General features: G+C 35.8%; 2 protein-coding genes across 4 annotated transcripts in view; one reads left to right on the plus strand and one right to left on the minus strand.

The window, feature by feature from the left end:
- Window positions 1-16,587, minus strand: part of RPA3 (replication protein A3) — an 82,090-nt gene extending 65,503 nt beyond the window's left edge. Inside the window, exons 1-2 of the mRNA NM_002947.5 lie at window positions 16,495-16,587; window positions 13,155-13,206 (exon numbers count right to left, since the gene is read on the minus strand). The gene's annotated coding sequence lies outside the window, so the exon portion shown is untranslated. The remainder of the gene's footprint in view (window positions 1-13,154; window positions 13,207-16,494) is intronic.
- UMAD1 (UBAP1-MVB12-associated (UMA) domain containing 1) overlaps window positions 1-21,136 on the plus strand; it is a 238,472-nt gene that overhangs the window by 61,269 nt on the left and 156,067 nt on the right. The gene's annotated exons all lie outside the window — the stretch shown is intronic.

Raw genomic sequence — 21,136 nt, forward strand, 5'->3', positions numbered from 1 at the left:
ATATTGAAATTCAGATAGAGAAGGTATACAGAAATATATTCACATATAGTTGAATTTAATGTAAGGGATGTCAAGGTAGGGAAGTGATTACTATGTAGATGTTTTCTATTGTGTTTGTGATTGCAAGGAGGATTTTATATGATAGTCATAGCTTGTCTTTAAAAGTTTGGTATGTGATAATATCAGAACAGTAAAAGGCTATTTCACATTTTAAAACTAAATCTTTATTAAATAATTATTTCACAAGTTAGTAATTATTGATATTCTTCTTCAGGGACTAGAGTTCCTATGCTTCCTAAACTGACTTTTAAGGAAAGATGAGACTATATTCAGTGCAGTTTTAATATGACATATTTTATTATCTCTTATTTTTTAAATTGATATTTTATGAAGGAGTCTATGGACTATAATACGAAAATTCTGGTTGGGGAGGCAGGAAACCTGGCTTTCAAGTACACTCCAATAGCTTTTATATAAAATTCAGGTGTTCTTTTTCTCTAATACTTGAAATAGCTATTTTCATTTTCATGTCATTTTCTGTACTTTTCCTGATACTTTTAAACATTGTTTTATTTTCAAATGAACAGCCCTCAAAGATGAAAATAAAAAGCAAAAGTTTCTTAATGTCTTAAATGCTTTTGTGTATATTAAGTGACTTTCTTTAAATTGAATCTTACTTTTCCACTGACATCTATGATGATTTCTGAAATGTGCTCCGGTGAGTAAAATTTGACAAGCCACTCCATCTGCCAGTGGCCTGGGTTTTTGTTGTTGTTGTTGTTGTTGTTTTTGGTTTGCCTTTTGTAAAAAATGCTTAGAGACAAGTCAACCAGTTTGTTTGCTGATGAACAGTTATTGCTTCACCCACCTGTACAACTTCATTGTCCTAGCTACAGGGGAAAATCATTTATTTTTCACTTGCGTCATTCTCCAGTCCTGTTGTCGTGTAAACTTATCATGTGCTCCTTGAAGCCATGCGAGCAGGCAGAGCAGAATTTCAGGAGAATGCCTTCAGCTAGTCTTCTAGTTAGTACTACACTGAGTTTACTGCCTGCTTTTTAGAACTTCCTTGCCAAACCTTCACTGAATGACTCTTCATATAATTGAATACAGCTGTAGTTTATTTTATTTGCCGAAAATAATTACTGGTGCCCACTAAAATGGTGATTAAAATCCACTTGATGTTTGTACTCTTTTTTGCTGAGATTTTAAAAATGTGCTTACAGTGAGGCTTCTATAATAAAAATAATGTAGTTTCCTGAATTATGGAATTCGTGTGTTCTCATTTAAGGTTGCAGTTTAAATTGATCTTTTATCAAAATTTAGACTGAAGAAGAGATTTTCCATCTAATTTATTTACCTATAGAATTTTTAACTTTTTAGTATGAAGTACCATTTTGTGAGTGCTCTAATTTCTTATTTATTAAATAAAAAGAAAACTAAATTTTATTCATTGTGTGGATATAGCACATACACATAATTTTATAAACATCTTTTTGTAACCTATATTGAATCCCAGAGGTCCTGACTCAGGTTTCAGACAAGCTCAAAATACAGGCACTTACAACACAGGTGCTAACAACAATTTGTCCTAATCAGTTCAGGGCCAAAGTTCAGTTCCTTCTTCTCTGGCCAATAGGATGTTTTAATTATGAAACGCAGACATCTCAGCACTTTGGGAAGCCGAGACTGGCAGATCGCTTGAGCCCAGGAGTTTGAGATCAGCCTGGGCAACGTGGCGAAACCCCGTTTCTACAAATAATGCAAAATTAGCCAGGTAATGTGGTGGCGTGCCCCTGTAGTCCCAGCTATTTGGGAGGCTGAGGTAGGAGGATTGCTTGAGCCTGGGAGGTTGAGGTTGCAGTGAGCCATGACTGTGTCACTGCAGTGAAGCCTGGGCGACAGATAACCTGTCTCTTAACAAAGGAAAGAAAGAAGGAAGGAAGGGAAGGAGGGAAGGGAAGGAAGGAAAGAAAAGAAAAGAAACATAGACATACCTTAGAGCAACAGTTCTCAAGGAGATACTTTGATGGAATCCCAGACATCTTCCTTTTCCAACTAAGTATCTGTGTGTGAGGCTGTGTTTTCTTTATTGTATTTCAACTAAACAACACATCATGATAGTCTGAATGCAGAAGAGAAAGGCCAACTGTTTTCTGTTGAGCTAGAAATTAAGGATATTTGTAAAATTATAAGGCTACTCTTTTTACTACCTTTCTTTTTGTTTTGGAAAATATAGTCATTTTTCATAGAAACATTCATGTAAATATGTAAAACAGTTAACTTAATAAATATATTTAAAATTTGTTTTGAAGTTTTGATTTCTAATATGAAAAATATTAACAGATATAACTGACGTAAGAGTCCTTTGGGTCCTCAGTAATTTTTGAGAGCATAAAGAGGTCTTGGAGATCACAGAGTTTAACAACTGCTGCCATAAAGAATTGCTTCTGGGCCGGGCGCGGTGGCTCATGCCTGTAATCCCAGCACTTTGGGAAGCCGAGGTGGGCGGATCACAAAGTCAGGAGTTCAAGACTAGCCTGGCCAATATGGTGAAACCCTGTCTCTACTAAAATAGAAAAAAAAAAAAAAAAAAAATTAGCTGGGCATGGTCATGCACGTCTGTAGTCCCAGCCATTCAGAAAGCTGAGGGTGAGAATCACTTGAACCCAGGGGGTGGAGGTTGCAGTGAGCTGAGATCGCACCACTGTACTCCAGCCTGGGTGACAGAGCGAGACTCCATCTCAAAAAAAAAAAAAAAAAAAAAAAAAAAGACTTGCTTCTGTACTTAAATGCCAGTTTAACTTATAGATTGTCTTTAATCACAAAAGGGTCATCAATTGAAAAAAAACGATGTGTTTTATTTGGGTAAAGTAAAATAGGCCTAGAAGATGGGCAGATTCTAAACAGTATTCATCATCTGAATGAAAAGAAGATTCTGGATAAACTCAGCATGCCTTTACAGATACAGAAGAGGAAGGGCGCTGATTGTGAACCATGGTGCTTCTTGGCATCTGTAACACAGGACTACTGACATTCTTTCTGGCATTGTTATTATTCTGAATTGAAGGGAGCTCCTGTTCTGACATGTTGTAAACCAGTCTTTGTTTTTGAACTTTTTATGCAATGATGAGAAGAGATCTCAACTTAGGAATCTTGTTGACATGCATGGAATAGGAAGTGGCATATAAACTTCCAAGATGATTGTAACGAAGTTCGTATAGTTGATGCACTGTGATTTAGTTTTGTCATTAAGATTCTGTTTTGGAAAAATATCTGACTTATAAAAAAATAGAATCTTAAAAATGTTTAATCATAATAACCACCTACATTATTAGAGTGCTTTGGAGTTTAAAAAGTAATTTTACATGTTCTAAAAATGTAAGCACGATAAAATAACTATGTAGGTTTAAGTTAATGTAATTGGTTTGGGTCACTGCTCTGTACAGCCTGCACCCAGTGTTTATATTCAGTGTGTTATTACAAAATGCTTAATACATATTGTATGTAATCATCTGGCTCTAAGTACTATGCTTGTGTAATCCATTGTTTTCATAATCATATTAGTATTTCTATTATAGGGATAATGAATTAGAGTTCAAGATGAAACAGTCGAACTTATTTATAAACAGAGAACTGAATGTTTTTAGGATTTTTAGGGTAGTGAAACTACTCTTATGTTAATATATTGGTGGGTACATGTCATTATAAATTTGTCCAAACTCATAGAATATAAAATAAAAAGACTGAACCCTAATGTAAAATATGGACTTTGGTGATAGCGATGTGTCAGTGTATGTTCATCAATTGTAATAAACATTCCTTTCTGGTGGGGAGGTTGTAAATGGGGGAGGGTGTGCATGTGTAGGGGCAGGAGTTATATGGGAATTCTCTGTACCTTCTGTTCAATTTTGCTATGAACCTAAAACTGCTCTAAAAAATAACCTCTGCTTTAAAAAGGTATGTGTACTCTATAATCTTTTATTAGAAATCTTTGTTGCTATTTTTACATGGAAAAATACAGGATGAAGTCATTATTCCCTAGAATAAATTATGGAAGTCACCATTCAAAGTTATGATGGAGTCAGGATGCTACAAAGAAAGTAGATTATCTCAATAGTGTTGTGTATGTTGACTGATTTGGGGAAGAGAGAGTAATTAGTGAAAATATGTGAAGTCCATGTTGAGTCAGAACAAAACGGATAATCACCTTCTGAGATGAAAAAAATCATCAAAAAGAGTCTAAAAATTATCTGTTGGTACAGATTTTGGGAAAATCTAGAAGAGGTGGAAGTAGTGAGGCTGCTCATGTTATCACCCTAGTCTGGGTTTGCTGGTTAGAGCATGTATGATTGGAAGAGAGAGAGAGAAGTTCAGGAAATACCAACAGAGCATGGGAACTGTACTAGGTTCAGTGATTCCAAAACCAAAAATGAAACCTATATAACAATGCTAACAATATATGTAATATTTCCAGAGTTTCCAAAGCCTCATTTAAATTGTGCCTGAAAATGTTAGATATCATTTTTTAAAATTGGAAAAAATGAGGAATACAAAACTTAAGTAACCCATCCAAAGGCACATACTAGTAGGTAATAATGAAGATAACTAATAATAACTCATTTACATAAGAACTCTAAGAACTTAGTACTATTATTTCTAACTCACAGATGGGAAAACAAAGTGTCGATGAGGTTGACTAACTTGCGTAAGAGTGCGTGGTTAGTAAGTGACAGCTGGGATTTTAAACTAGATTGTCTGAGTCTGTGCTCTTAATCCGTATGTTCTACATCCTATCTGTTGGTTTTGTTATTTTTTGGATAGAGCATCTTGACTTACTTAGATTTAAAATAAAATCCATTGCAGCACAAACATTTGCAGGGGTGGCTAAGATCCTAACAGAGGCCCAGGGAGATGACAGCAAATCTTTCCTAATGCCAGGCTTATATTCTTGTCTCATTCTTGTCTTTGAAGTCAAAACATTTTTAGTCAGTCTCTAGAAACAGAAACATGACTGTGTCAGGACACTAATTAATTAGCATTGAGGAGTTGTTTTCTGATTATAAATATATAACTATTGTACTACCATTCCCTGGTTGGTAGGATTGCTGTTTGTGCACATTATTTGAGGAGATGGAATAAACAGGCAAAATCAGTTTTTACAACCCTGTGTGAATACTGGTCTGTACAGCAAAGATTATATTCATTATGGTTATAAACTCCTTGTCTGCCTACAATATTAATATGGAATGAATGTTATCACCAAGTTACTGTAACTCAGAAGACTTCAGAAAATATCCTCTAGGTATCAAATTAAATTTGTAACTACGGTACTTTTTGCTTGCCTTGAATGACTTTCCCTGGAAGCCAGAAGCCTTGTGTTCAGTTTCTAGCACCATCAGCAATGTTACCTTGGGTAAATCATTTAAACATGTTGAACGTATGTTCCATTTGGCAGTGGGAATGCCATATGCTCTCAAATTGCTTCAGTGTGATTTTGTAAAAGTGAAATTGATTTTAAAATATGAATATATAAAGTGATTTCACTACTTATTAAGTAGAATGCATTGTATACTTCATAAAGCTAACAAATAATAAAAGACTAAATGATATTTTGGAATTTAAAAAAGACCTCTTTAGTTTTCTGTGATCCAAAATCTGGCTTAATTTTGCCTTAAAGCTATTCTTAGTGTTAATATATAATGCTTTTTAAAAATCGGCCAAGGTATCTTTGGGCATTTGTAGTCCTTTTCTGTTCAGAAATGTCATTAACTTGAAATATAAAGATGCTTTCTAAGGAAACTGGTTTGCCTAGCCAGATCTTTTAATGTAGTTATTTTGCTATGTGAGCTGTAAAACCCAAACATTGAGGCTGCTTTCCACAATGCCTTGTTGCCCAGACAGTGATGTCATGTTTTAAGCATGTTTAGTTTGCAAAGGTCCTGCTTTTGATCCTTTAGTTGTCACTTTTTTAATGCGGCTCCTCCTGAATCACAAAGGTACTGAAAGTAATTTGCTTCATTAAGGTCTGTTGCTGACACTGTTGTATTTCAGTCGTCATTCTTCTCTTAGCCTCCTTCATTAAGACCTTATTCAAATTTGGATCATGGTTCTGCTGCGACATCCACGCCATTATCATCTAAATAGCAATTACATATTCAAACACAACAGCTTCTCCTTAACTGTCTGTAACTTAACATTTTACATAGATTCAAGTGGGAATTAAGAATAAAATGAATCTTTTCTTCGTGATTTACAACCCTCCCTTTCACCCTTGGTTTACTAGTTAATGTTGAATAAGCTACTTGTAGACGAAGGAAGACAAAATTATTGATTGCTCAGCTTTAGTTTTGTAGAGAGATATATATTATAAATTGTTTCTGTATTAAACAGTTACCCAAGTGTCAGTGACCCTTATTCAATCACCCATGTATTTATTAGACAGCATTTACCATTTTGGATATAAGGGGATCAGGTCTAACACTCTGTTAAGAAATTAATAGGATCTTTTACAAAAGCAGCAGTGCTTTATAACTTGAAACATTGAAAGGAAACCTTTAAAAATAAGTCAACATATTTGTCCTTTTGGGACAGACCTCAAAAATAGAAGCAAATTCCATTAAAGTAGTAATATACTTTTCCTACTACTTCGTTTTGGCCATCTTAAAATTATATTTTATAATTAGTAAATAAGCTGATTTGACTGAAACGAGCAACTATGTTTATTGGAGACAGACCCAGCTTTTCAACAGATAGAATGTTAGGACTTTTTTTGCCCATTAATATGTGGTTTAAAGGGAAGTTATAACAAGACACCAAATGCATATGTATATATACAAATACAGGCAGTTGTATGTTTTTAAGAAGTTTTTAACCAGCAAGGGGTGTGTGTTTGTGTTTGTGTGTCTGTGTGTGTGTGAGAGAGAGAGAGGGAGAGAGAGAGAAAGGGAGAGGAAGGGAGAAAGTGTGGGAGGAAAAGAGGAGAGGAGGAGAAGACAGAAGAGGAAAACAGTCCTAACTATTAAAAATACCAATTAACTACTTAATAACACATCTTTCAGTGTCTTGCATAATAATTTCTTAGATATTTTGCAAAATTCGGCATGGTTAAGGGATTTTGTAATGGTTAAATAATTTTATTAGTTGTTTGAAATTGACTGTCTTTGTTTTCCTATCTGTGTGCTGAGATTTATCTCAATTATATGTGTGAATAATGTTATGCATGGGGTTACTTTTAATATGGATTTAACTGAGATTCTAGACTATATTCTTTGTAAATATGAACATTAGAAACTTGTTCAATTGTGGGTCGTCATTAATTCAAGTCAGGAAGGCTCACCCTTTGTCCTCACACCATCTCTTAAGAAGATAAGTCCTGTGGATAAGCTGGAGAGGTCAGATGTTGGTGTTGACTTAAAGCATTGCCACCCGAGGAGGGCAGAATGCTGTAAAACAAAGCAGAAGGAACTGTGTGGAGAGAAGGTGAATGACTGGGGGACTTGAAGTTGAAAGAAAAGTCAGGCGCTGAGCCTGCAAGGGCAAAATGAGGCTTGTGGGATAAGAATGGTTTGTCAGAAGTCACCTGTTTGCTCAGAAGTCATCTTTCCCTAACAAGGGTCTGTTTGGTATGTTCCTGTATTACAATTTATAATAACTGTTTTTTTACCTGCTGAGGGTAAGATCTTTAAAGTGACATCTTACCAGCTATTATTCTTAGCTCTTGCTTATGCAAATCTCAATTTGAAAAATAACCTTTTAAAGTTTTTTTTTTTAAATAATGAGAACATATTCAGAATGACAATGTGATGAACACCTGTGTACCCACCAATTGGTTTAAGAAATATAATTTCTTGTTAACCTTGAAGTTCTCTAAGTCTTCTCCTTACTCCCACCTCAGAGGTAAATTCCACTCTTTAAATTCTGCTTTTTTGGGGTCTCTTTTTAAATAGTGTTAACATATTTTTCATATGTGTAGTTTTGTATGTTTTACAACCATATATAAATCGAGTCACTCACAATGTATGTACAATATGTTCTTCAGCAATTTGCCTCTCTCACTCAGTATCATGTATCTGGTCTCATCTATATTGCTCTATGTATCTTTAGTTCTTTCATTTTTATTTGACATTCCATTGATGAATATACCACAATTTATATATCTGTTCTGATGATGAACATTTGGGGTTTTGTTTTGTTTTCCTAAAAACAGTGCTGTTACTGAACATTAGTAGGCAGAAGAAAAAACAAAACACCTTGATCTGTGTCTCACACTTTATGCAAAAATTGCCCAAAATGAAAGGACTAGTCCCTAGAATAAGTACTTGCAAAACTCAGCAGTAAAAAACAAAAAACAAAAAAACATAAAACCAAATTAGAAAATGGGCAAAAGACATGAAGAGACATTTCACTGAAGAGGATATACATATGGCAAATAAGCACATGAATAAGTGTCATTAGCCATAATGCAAATTAAAACCATAATGATAGGTCTCTACAAACCTGTATCAGAATAGCTAAAATAAATAGTAATAACACCAAATGCTGGTAAGGATGAAGAGAATCTGGATCACTTATTGATGATAGGAATGTAAAATGGTACAATTACTCTGGAAAATAGACAGTTTCTGAAAAGCTGAATATGCAGTTACTATACGACTCAGCAATTACACTTTGGGCATTTATCCCAGAGAAATTGAAGACGTATATGTGCATAAAACTGAGTATTTATAGCAATTTTATTCATAATAGACCCAAACTGGATACACACCAAATATCCTTCAACAGGTGAATGGTTAAATCTATGGTATATCTATATCATGGAATAATACTCAGCAAGAAGAAGTAACAAACTGTTGATATATACAACAACCTGGATGAATCTCCAGAGAATTATGCTGAGTGAAAAGAGCCAATCCCTAAAGGTAACGTACTGTATGACTTCATTTATGTAGCATTCTTGAAATGACCAAACTGTACACAAAAAATAGAGAAATCATTGGTCGCCGGTGGGTAAGGATGGGGTGAAAGTTAGAGGCAAGTGTGTGTGGCTATAGAAGGATAACACTGGGGATTCTGGTGGTTATGGAGATGTTCTGTATCTGGTCTGTGTGAATGAAATATCCTGGTTGTGGTATTGAACTATAGTTTTGCAAGATGTTGCCATTGTGGTAAACCAGGTAGAAGCTACATGGGATATTTCCATATAATTTCTCCAATCTGCCTGTGAATCTAGAATTATCTGAAAAAGTTCAATTAAAAGACAACATGATGCTGTTACAAACATCCTTGTACATGTCTCCTGGTGCACATATGTGAGCTTTCCTCTAGATTTTATTTCCGGGAGGAATTACAGGCTATGCACATGTTAACTTTAGTAAATCATGGCAAATTTTTTTCCCAAGTGGTATATGAAAATTCTATCCTTTTCATATTATACTCTATCCTTTTTAAGGATATTGTACTTCAAGGATATTATACTCTATCCTTTTTAACATGTAATACTGTGAGACTTAAATTTTTATCAGTCTGTTGGTTAGAAAATGGTATCTTGTGTTTTTAATTTACATTTTCTTGTTTATAATGGAATTGGACATTTTTATTTATGTTTAATAGTCATATGTGGTTTTTTTGCTCAGTAAAATCACTATTGATCTCTTTTCCCTGCTGTATTGTCTGTCATTTAAAAAGTTGATTCTAAGGGGATCTAGTTACAAATTTTGTTGCATTTTAATGACTTATGTTTTTCTTTTTATCTGTTAATGAAGAGACATTTTGATGTGACAGTTTTAAAATATATAAAACTTTTCCTTAACTTTCATATTTCAGTCTGATTTAAAAAGTCCCTTCTTGGAGATCAGAAAGTCATCTTCCTATAGCATCTTCTTATAGCTCTATGGTTAACTTTGGTTATAGTGTGGTATAGCGATCCGATTTTAATTTTTTTTTGTAGGGATAACCTATTTTCTTAGTACTATTTTGGATTAATTCATCTTCTTTTCTTCACGTATCTTCCAAGCTTACTCTTACATATATAGTATCTTTGGTTCTCCTACTTTATGAGGCTATTTTTCTCTCTCTTAGCCAATGTCATAAAGCTCATTATATTACCATCCTTTAAAACCATCTCAACCTTCCTTTGTTCTCTGCTTTTCTATATAATGAAGCATCAGTTGATCTTATGCCAAATAAATAAAAAATGAATAACAGATGGATAATCACTCAAACCTACCCACTCTGATGTGATTTTTGTTGAAATTTTATTGAACATATAGATTAATTTAGGGGAGAATTGCTATATTTACAATATTTAGTCTTCTTCAGAAATATATTTCTGTCCATTTGCTTAGGTTTCCTTAATACATTTTTGTAAAATTGCCATGCATTTTTCATAAAAATCACATTTCTGCTTTTGTCAGATTTATTCTTAGAGTGCTTTTTTGTTTTATTATTATAGTAAATATTTTTAAAGTTGTATTTTCTGTTTGTTGCCAGCATAGAAACATGTAGCTGATACTTGTAGCAACCATCTTGATAAAATATTTACTTCCCATAATTCATCTTTAGATTCTTTTGAATTTTCTAAGTACGTAATTATAACCTCTGTGAATAGTGAGTTTTGTTTCATTCAAATCCTTGTGGTTTCATTTTATCTTTTGGTCTTACTGCATGGTCTAGGACCTCTAGTATGTTGAAGAGAAGTGTCAAAGAAAACATCTTTTCCCCACTTTTGATTGTAAAAAGAATGCTTATAATGTTTGCAATTGTGAACTACTACATACAATACATTTTGTTTTTTTGGGTTGCTCCTGGTTGGCTAAAGGCTTATTGTAGAAACATAATAGGCATAGAGTGTTGTTAGAATTGGTATAAGATTTGATTTTAATAGAATTCACCTGTAAAAATTATCTTGGCCTCGTGTTTCTTTAGTGGGTAGCTTTTATGTACCGAATGAATTTGTTGATAATTGCAGACTAGCCTATTGTGTCAATTTGGTAAGATATTTTTCTAGGTGATTGCTCATTCAAAAAATATTCTAGGGCCGCGCGCGGTGGCTCACACCTATAATCCCAGCACATTGGGAGGCTAAGGCAGGCAGATCACAAGGTCAGGAGATTGAGACCAGCCTGACCAACATGGTGAAACCCTGTTTCTACTAAAAATACAAAAAAAAAAAATTAGCTGGGCATGGTGGCGTGCACCTGTAGTCCCAGCTACTCAGGAGGCTGAGGCAGGAGAATCACTTGAACCCAGGAGGCGGAGGTTGTGGTGAGCTGAGATTGCGCCACTGCACTCCAGCCTGGGTGACAGAGTGAGACTCCATCTCAAAACAAAACAAAACAAAAACAAACAAACAAACAAATCTAAGTTTATAGACAGAGTTTTTTTTTTTTTTAAATGATATCTTCTTACCATTTTTTAATCTCTGGGATTTTCATTATGTTCTGCTCCTCCCCCCCATGGCAATATTGTTTATTTATTGCTTTACTATTTATTTTCTTAGTGTTTTCAAAAGACCAGTTTTAGGATGTATTGTTCCTCTTTTGCATTTTATTTTCTGTTTCATCATTTCTTGCTCTTACCTTAATTATTTCCTTTTTCATTTTCTTTGGAGTTTATTTTGTTAGTTTCATTTTGACTTTTTAAGTTGGTTGTTTGTCCTTGGATCATCATTTTTAAGCTTTTAAAAATTCTAATATGTTCATTAATAATGCCCTGTATTTCCCTTTAAATGCTATTGAGCAGCTTCCAAATTTTAATTTGTATTATTTCCATTCGTTTGTCATTTTGCACATTTTTCTCTTTTCAAAAAATTAAAAAAATTTTTTCTAGAGGCAGGGTCTCACTCTGTCACCCAGGCTGGAGTGCAGTGGTGTGACCACAGACAGCTCACTGCAGCCTCGACCTCCTAGTCTCAAGTGATCTTCCTGCCTTGGCCTCCTGAGTAGCTGGGACTACAGGCATGTGCCACCACACCTGCCCCACACGTTTTTCATCGTCAATACTTCTTTGTTGAGTTATTTTTAAATGTTTTAAGATTTCCAAAAATTGAGTTTTTTTGTGTGTTATCTTTTTGATGAAGATTTTTAATTTAATGTCCTGTGGTCAGAGAGGGTGGTACAAATGATAGAAATTCCTGAAATGTGTTGAGACTTGATTCATGGCCTTTTCTCAAAGAAAAGCATATCAGTCTTAACTGACCTCCACTTATATGACTTTGCATATTGACCAGCATTTCCAACTTTTCTATAAATCCTTGGATGTTGACAGCATCTAGTTTATTCTCTGATGAGCAGACTTTCTTTGGCTGCTCCAGCAGAGTGCTGCTGAAGTGTCAAGCTGTTTGCTCCTAAATGTATGTACTTGTTTATTATAATTGCATGATTTAATTAAAATATGAATTAAGAGGTTGTACTTAAACATGAATAAAGAGGGAGTACTTATAGCTACGAAACTTTGTTAAATGCTTTAGAAATAATCTATATAGTTTAATTGCTAAAATAAAAAAGGAGCTGTCAATTTAGGTGTGGGTGAGATGACTTAGGATCTAGGAATCAGTGGTAGATTGATTTGTAAATATCTTTAAATTCTCATTTGCTTTAAAACAGTTGGAGGTTGTGTACAATGTATTATATGTTGGACTTACATAAGAAAGACTTAGAACTCCATCAGGTGTCCCTAACTGCAAATAAAGGCCTCAGCTGAAAACCTTCCTGGGGGAAGGTTAAAGCAAGTAACAGGTTGGAAGCTGGGAGAAAGTCAGGATTTAGGGTGTTGGGCACTTGTGTAGAGTAATTTTTTTATTTCCTCATGAACTGGTTGTTCAAAAATTTTTCTTTTTTTTTTTTTTTTTTTAGTTGATAGTAACACTTGCAGACCTGTTGTACCATGTGGTTGAACTAAGCAGAACAGGGGCACTAGAATTAAACAACAACAACAACAACAACAAAAAACTACAGAGGAATTACAGTTGCCATAGGCAGCAATGAAACTAGAACTAACCAACTGCAGTTTTTTGTTGTAGGCAAATCCACAAATCTTAGAACTTAAAAAAAATACTTTTTTTTAGTGTTTTACGAGATGAACTCTGAATTATAGAATATCTCACCATTAATATGCACCTTCAGCATAGAAACAGTTAAAGAAAATAAACTTACCTGAAACTATTGTATTCCCTGTGCATTGTCTTCACATCCTTTTTCTGAGTACCTGAGACAAAGTGAACTACAAGTAGGATAAGAACTGAAAAGTTTTCACCAGATTTATGAATACAGTTTCATCAATGATCTTGGTGAATAGTAGTAGCAGAAGAGTTGACCATAGACCTTATAGCTAGCTGTTAGAATAGCTAATTTAATGAATTTTTTCCCAAATCTGAAACTCAAAGCTACTGATAACCAAAGCTAGTTCCCTGATAAGTAACTTAGGGAAGTGCACTCTTATTTCAATAATTAATGCTTCCATGAAATTATATAAACATTCATGCATTCCGACAATATCTGAATATTTCTGTGTGCTAGGTGCTGTGCTGGGTGTTGGGTATGCCATTATGAACAATACAAAGAAGAGCTCTGTTTTCATTCAAATGAGGATAAAGTTTTTCAATAGCAATTATTTTTAAAAATGAAAATAAAGATCCACAAATTTCCAGAAAAAAATGACCTAAAAGTCATAGTTTTACCATTGAATGTAATATCCTTCCTGTAATCCATGAATCAGAGTATGTAAAGAGATGTAAAAGATGTAAGAAAGAGTTTTGAGTTTTAATTTGGGAAAAGAAGTATAAGACAGTAGTAGCAGTCATATAAAATAGAATAGCATCAAACATTTAAAAAATAGTATCGTGATAGCATAGAGCAAAATTTACATTTTAACCATTTACTAAACTTTGGTGAAAACTATCACTTAAAAAATCCTTAATTACAAGGAGATAGTATAAAACATAGTTTGTTGCTGTTGTATATTTGTTTTTAAGTATCTCAGACAAATCGAATAATTTTTTAAATTAGAAACTAATATATGTCAGGCATATGGCTACAGTTAAAATTTTTTTTGAAAATGAAATTATGGATGCAGAAAGCAAACAAGCTGTGGCAGAAAAGGATGGATCTAAATATGAAGAGGAGGAGGAGATAAGAGCAATCCAGCTGCAAAAATTACTCATGCCATAGGTAGTTTTAGATGCCCTAGAAATAGTTCTATGTTGTATTGAATAACAGCTTGAATCAGGATTCGATATTATTACAACATGGGAAGGAACAATGCCAAGAAAAATTGTATTTATTCTTATAACTTCAAAGTGATACAGGAGCTCGAAAGAAATTTAGGCAGTTAGTGAGGCTAAGAGAGTCCTTGGCAAGGTTTCCTTTTAAATAAAAAGCAGCCCCCAAATCATTTCTTTTCTAACAAAAGAGCAGCCTGAAAGATCGAGCTGCAGACATAGATAAGCAAGCTGGAAGCTTGCACAGGTGAATGCTGGTAGCTGTGCCAATAGTAAAGGGCCACTTGGAAGCCAGGTATGTTCAACATGGAGGCTCCACCTTCCCTTTTCTTTGTCACCACGTGCACAGTAAAGAGGCAGGCAACATGGTGCTGGCCAGGTAGCAAACCCATCTGCCTAGTAAAAGATTAGGGTGGAGGCCGGCGCGGCCGGCGCGGTGGCTCACGCCTGTCATCCCAGCACTTTGGGAGGCCGAGGCAGGCGGATCACGAGGTCAGGAGATCGAGACCATCCTGGCTAACACGGTGAAACCCCGTCTCTACTAAAAGCACAAAAAAATTAGGCGGGCATGGTGGCGGGCGCCCATAATCCCAGCTACTCGGGAGCCTGAGGCAGGAGAATGGCGTGAACCTGGGAGGCGGAGCATGCTATGTAAATGGCACACCTGGTCTGATCAATCTCTCGTGCCCTATGTAAATCAGACACCGCCTCCTATAAAACCAACCTCTTCTTGCCCTGAACCCGGAAACCCGTTCGGGACCCCTTCCTCTGCACGAGGGAGCTTTCCTCTTTCTTTTTCCTTTTTCTTTCTTTCTTTTTTTCTTTTTTTTTTTTTTGAGACGGAGTCTTGGTCTGTTGCCCAGGCTGGAGTGCAATGGCATGATCTTGGCTCACTGCAACCTCCGTCTCCCGGGTTCAAGCGATTCTCTCACCTCTGCCTCCCGCGTAGCTGGGACTACCGGTATGCGCCACCACGCCCAGCTAATTTTCGTATTTTTGGTAGAGACTGGGTTTCACCACGTTGGCCTGGCTGGTCTCGAACTCCTGACCCCAAGTGATCCGCCTGCCTCAGCATCCCAAAGTGCTGGAATTACAGGCATAAGCCACCTCGCCCAGCCTCCTGTTTCTTTCATCTATTAAAACTCCACTCTTAAACTCACTCCTTGTGTGTCCTCGTCCTTCAGTTTCTTTGGCGTGAGACGATAACCTCAGGTATTTACCTCAGACAACTCTGCTACTTCAGAAGTATTTACTTTATTAAATGAATATGATTTATTGTTTTGAAGTAAAATGTTTAAGGTATGCATGTATTTTTTATGATTTCCCACTTTAACTGATTTTTTTATTAAATGAAGAAATGGTCTCAATCACATTGGCTAACATGGCCTCTATTTATTTAATTCATCTGTTTTTCCCACTTTGGGGCATCAACAGCATGGAGTATTTGGAAAACTACTTGTATTTGTAAAGAGTAAAATGCAGTTTAACAAAGAAGTTAGTTTGTCATTGTATAGTTCAGGAACTCTGGCCTGGATGAGAGCATGAGTTTGAAATTTTGTCCTCAAGATTTTGTTTTTATCTTACCATCACCTTTTATGCTTAAGTTTATGATTGGCCATAATTATCAAATTGACACATTATGTCATGTGAAAATCTGTTTACCAAACTTTTCTATTAATAAACTTGATGTTTAATTGTAATATTAAGAGTCACAGAGTGCTGTAGATTCTGTTTGTCATAGTTGTGTAGCTTTTAGAGTTTAGGGAAATCTAGTTTTTAGAATTGACACAATGATTTTTAATTTTAGCAGTGTGTTGAATAACCTGTGATATACCATTCACTTATTAACTTCACATTGTTGTATAATAAGTTATAAATTTTAGATCAGATAAGAAAGTAAAACTGGTATTAATTTGGGAAGAAGAAATTGCAGAACTTGAGTGATTTTTCCAAATAATGTGTCAGCTGTAACTTGAATGTGTTATTTTTATCCCCAAGGGTATTTTGAAATATACTTATGTGAATTTCTTATAGTTTATTTTAACCATAAAACTATTTTGATATTTTTATAATGCCATCGATGATACTGTATGCATAGTGAGGGCATGGGTTGTCTGTTCTTACCACCATATTCCCAGCACTAGCATGGAACAAATGAATAAGAACGGAGTAAAAATGCATAATCTAAACTTGACTATGTGTGTCTTCAAAATAATACCTTTAAGTTATTTTGAAGGAAAAAACTATGTATCCAACAAATTCAAACAGATACTTACAAAATTAAGACGATTGTAAATGTGTGTTGTCCTCCTTCTCATTGTTTTTCACATCCAAAAATGTCCTCTTGGAGCCTCTTATCTGAGTAGCTTCTGTGGATCTGATGATGCTAGGATTTTATTTTTTCTTTTATTTTAAAGTTCTTCTGATTACATCATCTCTTTGTATAGACATCATTCTTGACAGATGGCATTTATTAAATATGGACAGTAGCAGGCAGTTAAAAAGACCTGCATGAGATAGGCAGGAACCTTTCTTTTTTCTTTCTGACTCTCAGAAGCAATACCAGCATTAGCTTTATTTAACTTCTAGATTAATTTAAAAAGAAACCTCTTTAAATTATGACTCAACAGGTACAGGGTGAAGTGGGGGAAATGTATGTGTGTTTTAAAGCTTCCCAAGTGATTTTGACCATCAGTTAAGTTTAGAAACCACTGATTACAATTAATTTCCTTAGAATTTGCTCATATATTTAATTCCAAAGAGGAAGAAAATTGAAATTTTAAAAAACATATGAGTATTTTTGGAGATGACATAACTTTCCTTTTATTGTGTTAAAAAAAGCTTTAAGAACTGTTTTTTTCTGCATTTTTATTAATTATCAAGATTTAGTGATGGTTTAGAGAGCTAAAAACACCTTTAGGGTGAATTCAGAAGATCTAGCAGATACAATGATGAAATATGATCAGCAAGCTTTAGGAGAGGATAACAAATGTGTGATTTTGAAATCTCTTCTATTTGAAACCAATCCAGAGTCTTGAATTTGATCCAGTATATAGTATGCTACAAATGGAAAGATTAAACTGGAGCAATATAATTAGGGTAAGCCATTGCATCTGCACTTGTATCGCAGCAACTGAATTTGAAACCAGCTGCAAAATGGTGACTAATCTCTCTGGCAAGCCCACATGAGAGTGTAGTACAATAAGCCAGCTTCAGCCTCATGAGCACATGTTTCTTCAACTTGCCTCTGAGCAGGTGATGGTGATGATGCAATCTGATTATACTTTTGAATGTATTCTAACCACAGTCAACAGTAGAGTCTCACAAGGGATTTCACAAAAGACTTCAAACCGACTGTATATTTTTCAGAGAGTTGAGCTATAGACAGCCATGGAAAGTAGTAGTTTTTTTTTTCACGTTAGTGACTACTGTACTTTGCAGTACTTTATAATCTTAAGTTTAGGAGGCTTTAGTTTTCATATGTGAACTGAAGATGAGAAGAATAATGTGGAAAGAAAGTACTTGTACTTGGAGCTTTTATTCTGAATTGTTCACAACAACTTACACTGATCAATTAAAATAATTAAATTGTCTAGACTATTTAATTCTGTACAAACAAGAGATGGTAAATCAGTGTACTGTGTTTAAGTGGTACACTAACCTTTCCATATTCAGAGAAGTACCTCCCTGGGTCTTGAACATTAAAGGTGTTTAATAAGTACTCAGTTTGACTTGGACTTGAGCCTTTATTTTTGAAGGGAATAAAGTTTCTTCTTCCAGTGTACCTCAGAGGGACTTGGTAAGCATGAATAAAGCCATCTGTTTGAAAATGTATGTCATTTTTGGAAAAGTGCTACAGAACCTAAAATACAGTCACAAGTATTATTTCAAATGTATAGTTCAGAAGTAGAATACTTAGAAATTGCTTGTTAATCTTAATTGTAAATAGCTAAAAAAAATATAGCTTGCAATAAAGGACACAAGAGCATTAAAATATAAAAGTCACAAACTATACATCTCTGAGAATAAAGGGGGAAATGGGATGTAAAAACCCTAGGCTGGTGGCACTCACAGTTGGTATACAGCAGAATGACTTTGGCTGCTTGTCAGAAGCGAATAACCCTGGGCCTCTTCCCCATCACTTCTGATTTTATAGGTTTGGAGTGTGTCCCAGGCATCTGTGTTTTTAATCATTTCCCCCCCTAACTTACTCTCCCCATCTAAACTTGAGAAACACCCAGACTACTGTAGTATTATGGTACTATAGACTACTGAGTATTAGTACAGTACTATAGTGCTGACTAGTAAGCTTCCTAATTGCCAAACAAAAGAAAAATTTTCACTGTCATCAAAAGAAATAAACTTTCTTCATGGTAATTATAAAAAGACTTTTTGAGAAAAAAAAGCATCTTCAATAGTGATTTTGTAGAAGAAGCCAATTTGTTTTTTTGTGTATTTTTATTTAAACATTTTTATTAAAACAAGGGGCATTTTACTGAAGAATTAAGAGCCTTCAGTGAAGGCTAAGTGCAGGTGTGCTGCCTTCTAGTAATCCAGACTAGGTGGTTAGTATGAGTTATGGGTTGAATTCTGTCCCCCCAAAAAGGTATATTTAAGACTTCACCCCCAGTACCTATGAATGTGACCTTATTTTGAAATATAATCTGTTTGCAGATGGAATCAAGTTAAGATGAGGTCATACTCATTGGAGTGGGCCCTCCTCCTTCACTGACTGATGTCCTTATAAGAAGAGGGAAATTTGGACACAGGGAGACACAGAGGAGAAATGGCCATGTGAGAGAGGCAGAGATCGAAATGATGCCACCACAAGCCAAGGGACACCAAGGATTGCAAGAAACCACCAGAGCTAGGAAGAGGCAAGGAAGGATTCTGCCCTAGAGACTTCAGAGAGAGCTTAGCCCTACTGACAACTTGATTGACGATTTCTAGTCTCCAGAAATGTGACAGAATAAATTTCTGTTGTGTTAAGCCACCACGTTTGTACCATTTTGCTATGGCAGCTTTAGGAAACTAATACAGTATGTGAATCTCTTTTTCTGTCATTTGGATTTTTGACAAGTTTCTTTTCTCACATATTCCATATGTGTGCAGAGGTTCATGAGCTCTGGACCTGTCATTGTGGTCAAATTTGAATTCTACTTTAAATGTTAAGGCACCTGCGTGAAAACCACACTACTGCTGCATAATTGTGAGCCGTAGGGGATACTGCCATTAGGAGCCATTTTTCCTTAAAAGGAAGCTCATGCATTTGAATAAGTAGTAAATGGTGATGGCAGAGTTATGTTTCATAAAATATGGAGGAGACTTTTGTCATCAGCAGGAACTGTCACTTTTATGATCTTCTACTGGAATGAAAACTCACTTCCACCCCAGGAAAGATCTCTGCAGAGGCAGTGAATCAATCTCTGTGCTGCCTCTTCCTCCTCCTTGATCTTTTTTGTGATTGTCCATGAGGATTTTGCTACCTGCCCTCTCAGGGATTTTACTGAACTCCCCATCTGTGATGGTTAATACTGAGTGTCAACTTGATTGGATTGAAGGATGCAAAGTATTGATCCTGGGTGTGTCTGTGTGGGTGTTTTCAAAGGAGATTAATATTTGAGTCAGTGGGTTGGGAAAGGCAGACCCACCCTTAATCTGGATGGGCACTATCTAATCAGCTGCCCGCTTGGCTGGGATATAAAGCAGGCAGGAAAACGTGAAAAGGCTAGACTGGCTTAGCCTCCTAGCCTACATCTTTTCCCATGCTGGATGCTTCCTGTCCTTGAACATTGGACTGTAAGTTCTTCGGCTTTGGGACTTGGACTGGCTTCCTTGCTCCTCAGCCTGCAGACGGCCTATTGTGGGTCTTGTGATCATGTGAGTTTAATACTCCTTAATAAACTCTCTCTCTCTCTCTATATATATATATGTATATATATGTATATCTATATATCTATATAGATATATAGATATATACTATTAGTTCTGTCCCTCCAGTGAACCCTGACTAATATAGATTTTGGTACGAGGAGTGGTTCTAGAGGAACAGAATATTAAGGATGGAGTTCCTTCGTTGGTTTTGGGGATTCTGGAGTTGGCTGCTTAATATGATTAGACCCAATAATGCGAAGGACTCTACTTCTAATGGTATAGAGAACACTGATAGTCCTTGGCATGAACTGTTTAGACAGTTATGCAAAATAAATGCATTTGACACTCCTGATTTACCGCCCATGTGAGACAAGGGGTTTAGTGACTCTGTACATAATACCTTAGGCTGTATGTGGAGAACTAAGGAATGTAATGAAGTTGGTTGGTTGCTCCTAAGTTCACTGGACAAAGTGATGAAGGAAAATGATGAATTCAGGGATTCTGACTCCTGGCTACAGAAGCATATACTGAGCCTTAAATCTCCTAAGACTGCCCTCAGTGAGAGTCTTACCTCCTGTAGAGAAAGAGCTGAAATTGTGGCAAAACAGACACAAGCTCTTATCATGTGGGTGGCTGACCTGTAATGGAAGGTGCATGCACAGCCTCACCAGGTGTCTACTGTTAAAGTGAAGGCATTGATTGGAAAAGAATGGGACCCTGCAACTTGGAATGGGGACGTGTGGGAGGACCCTGATGAAGCTGGGGACACTGAGCTTGTAAACCCTGATCAATCTTTTTTGCCAGAAGAAACAGCTTCTCCATCCCCAGTATTGGCAACATTCCCTCTCCAACCGATGCTGCCATCAGCCTTTCCACCTTTGTCTGAGGAGATAAACCCTGCACTGCCTGAGGCAACAGTGATGGCCTCCCCTGAGCAGTTGCCAGGCAAGATAATGTTGATTCTCCTCAGGAGCCACTGCCAACATCCCTGTTTGCTTCTAGAGCTATAACTAGACTAAAGTCCTGGTGGGCCCCTAGAGGCAA

This window comes from Homo sapiens, chromosome 7 (genome assembly GCF_000001405.40).
Source record: "Homo sapiens chromosome 7, GRCh38.p14 Primary Assembly".
NCBI lineage: Eukaryota > Metazoa > Chordata > Mammalia > Primates > Hominidae > Homo > Homo sapiens.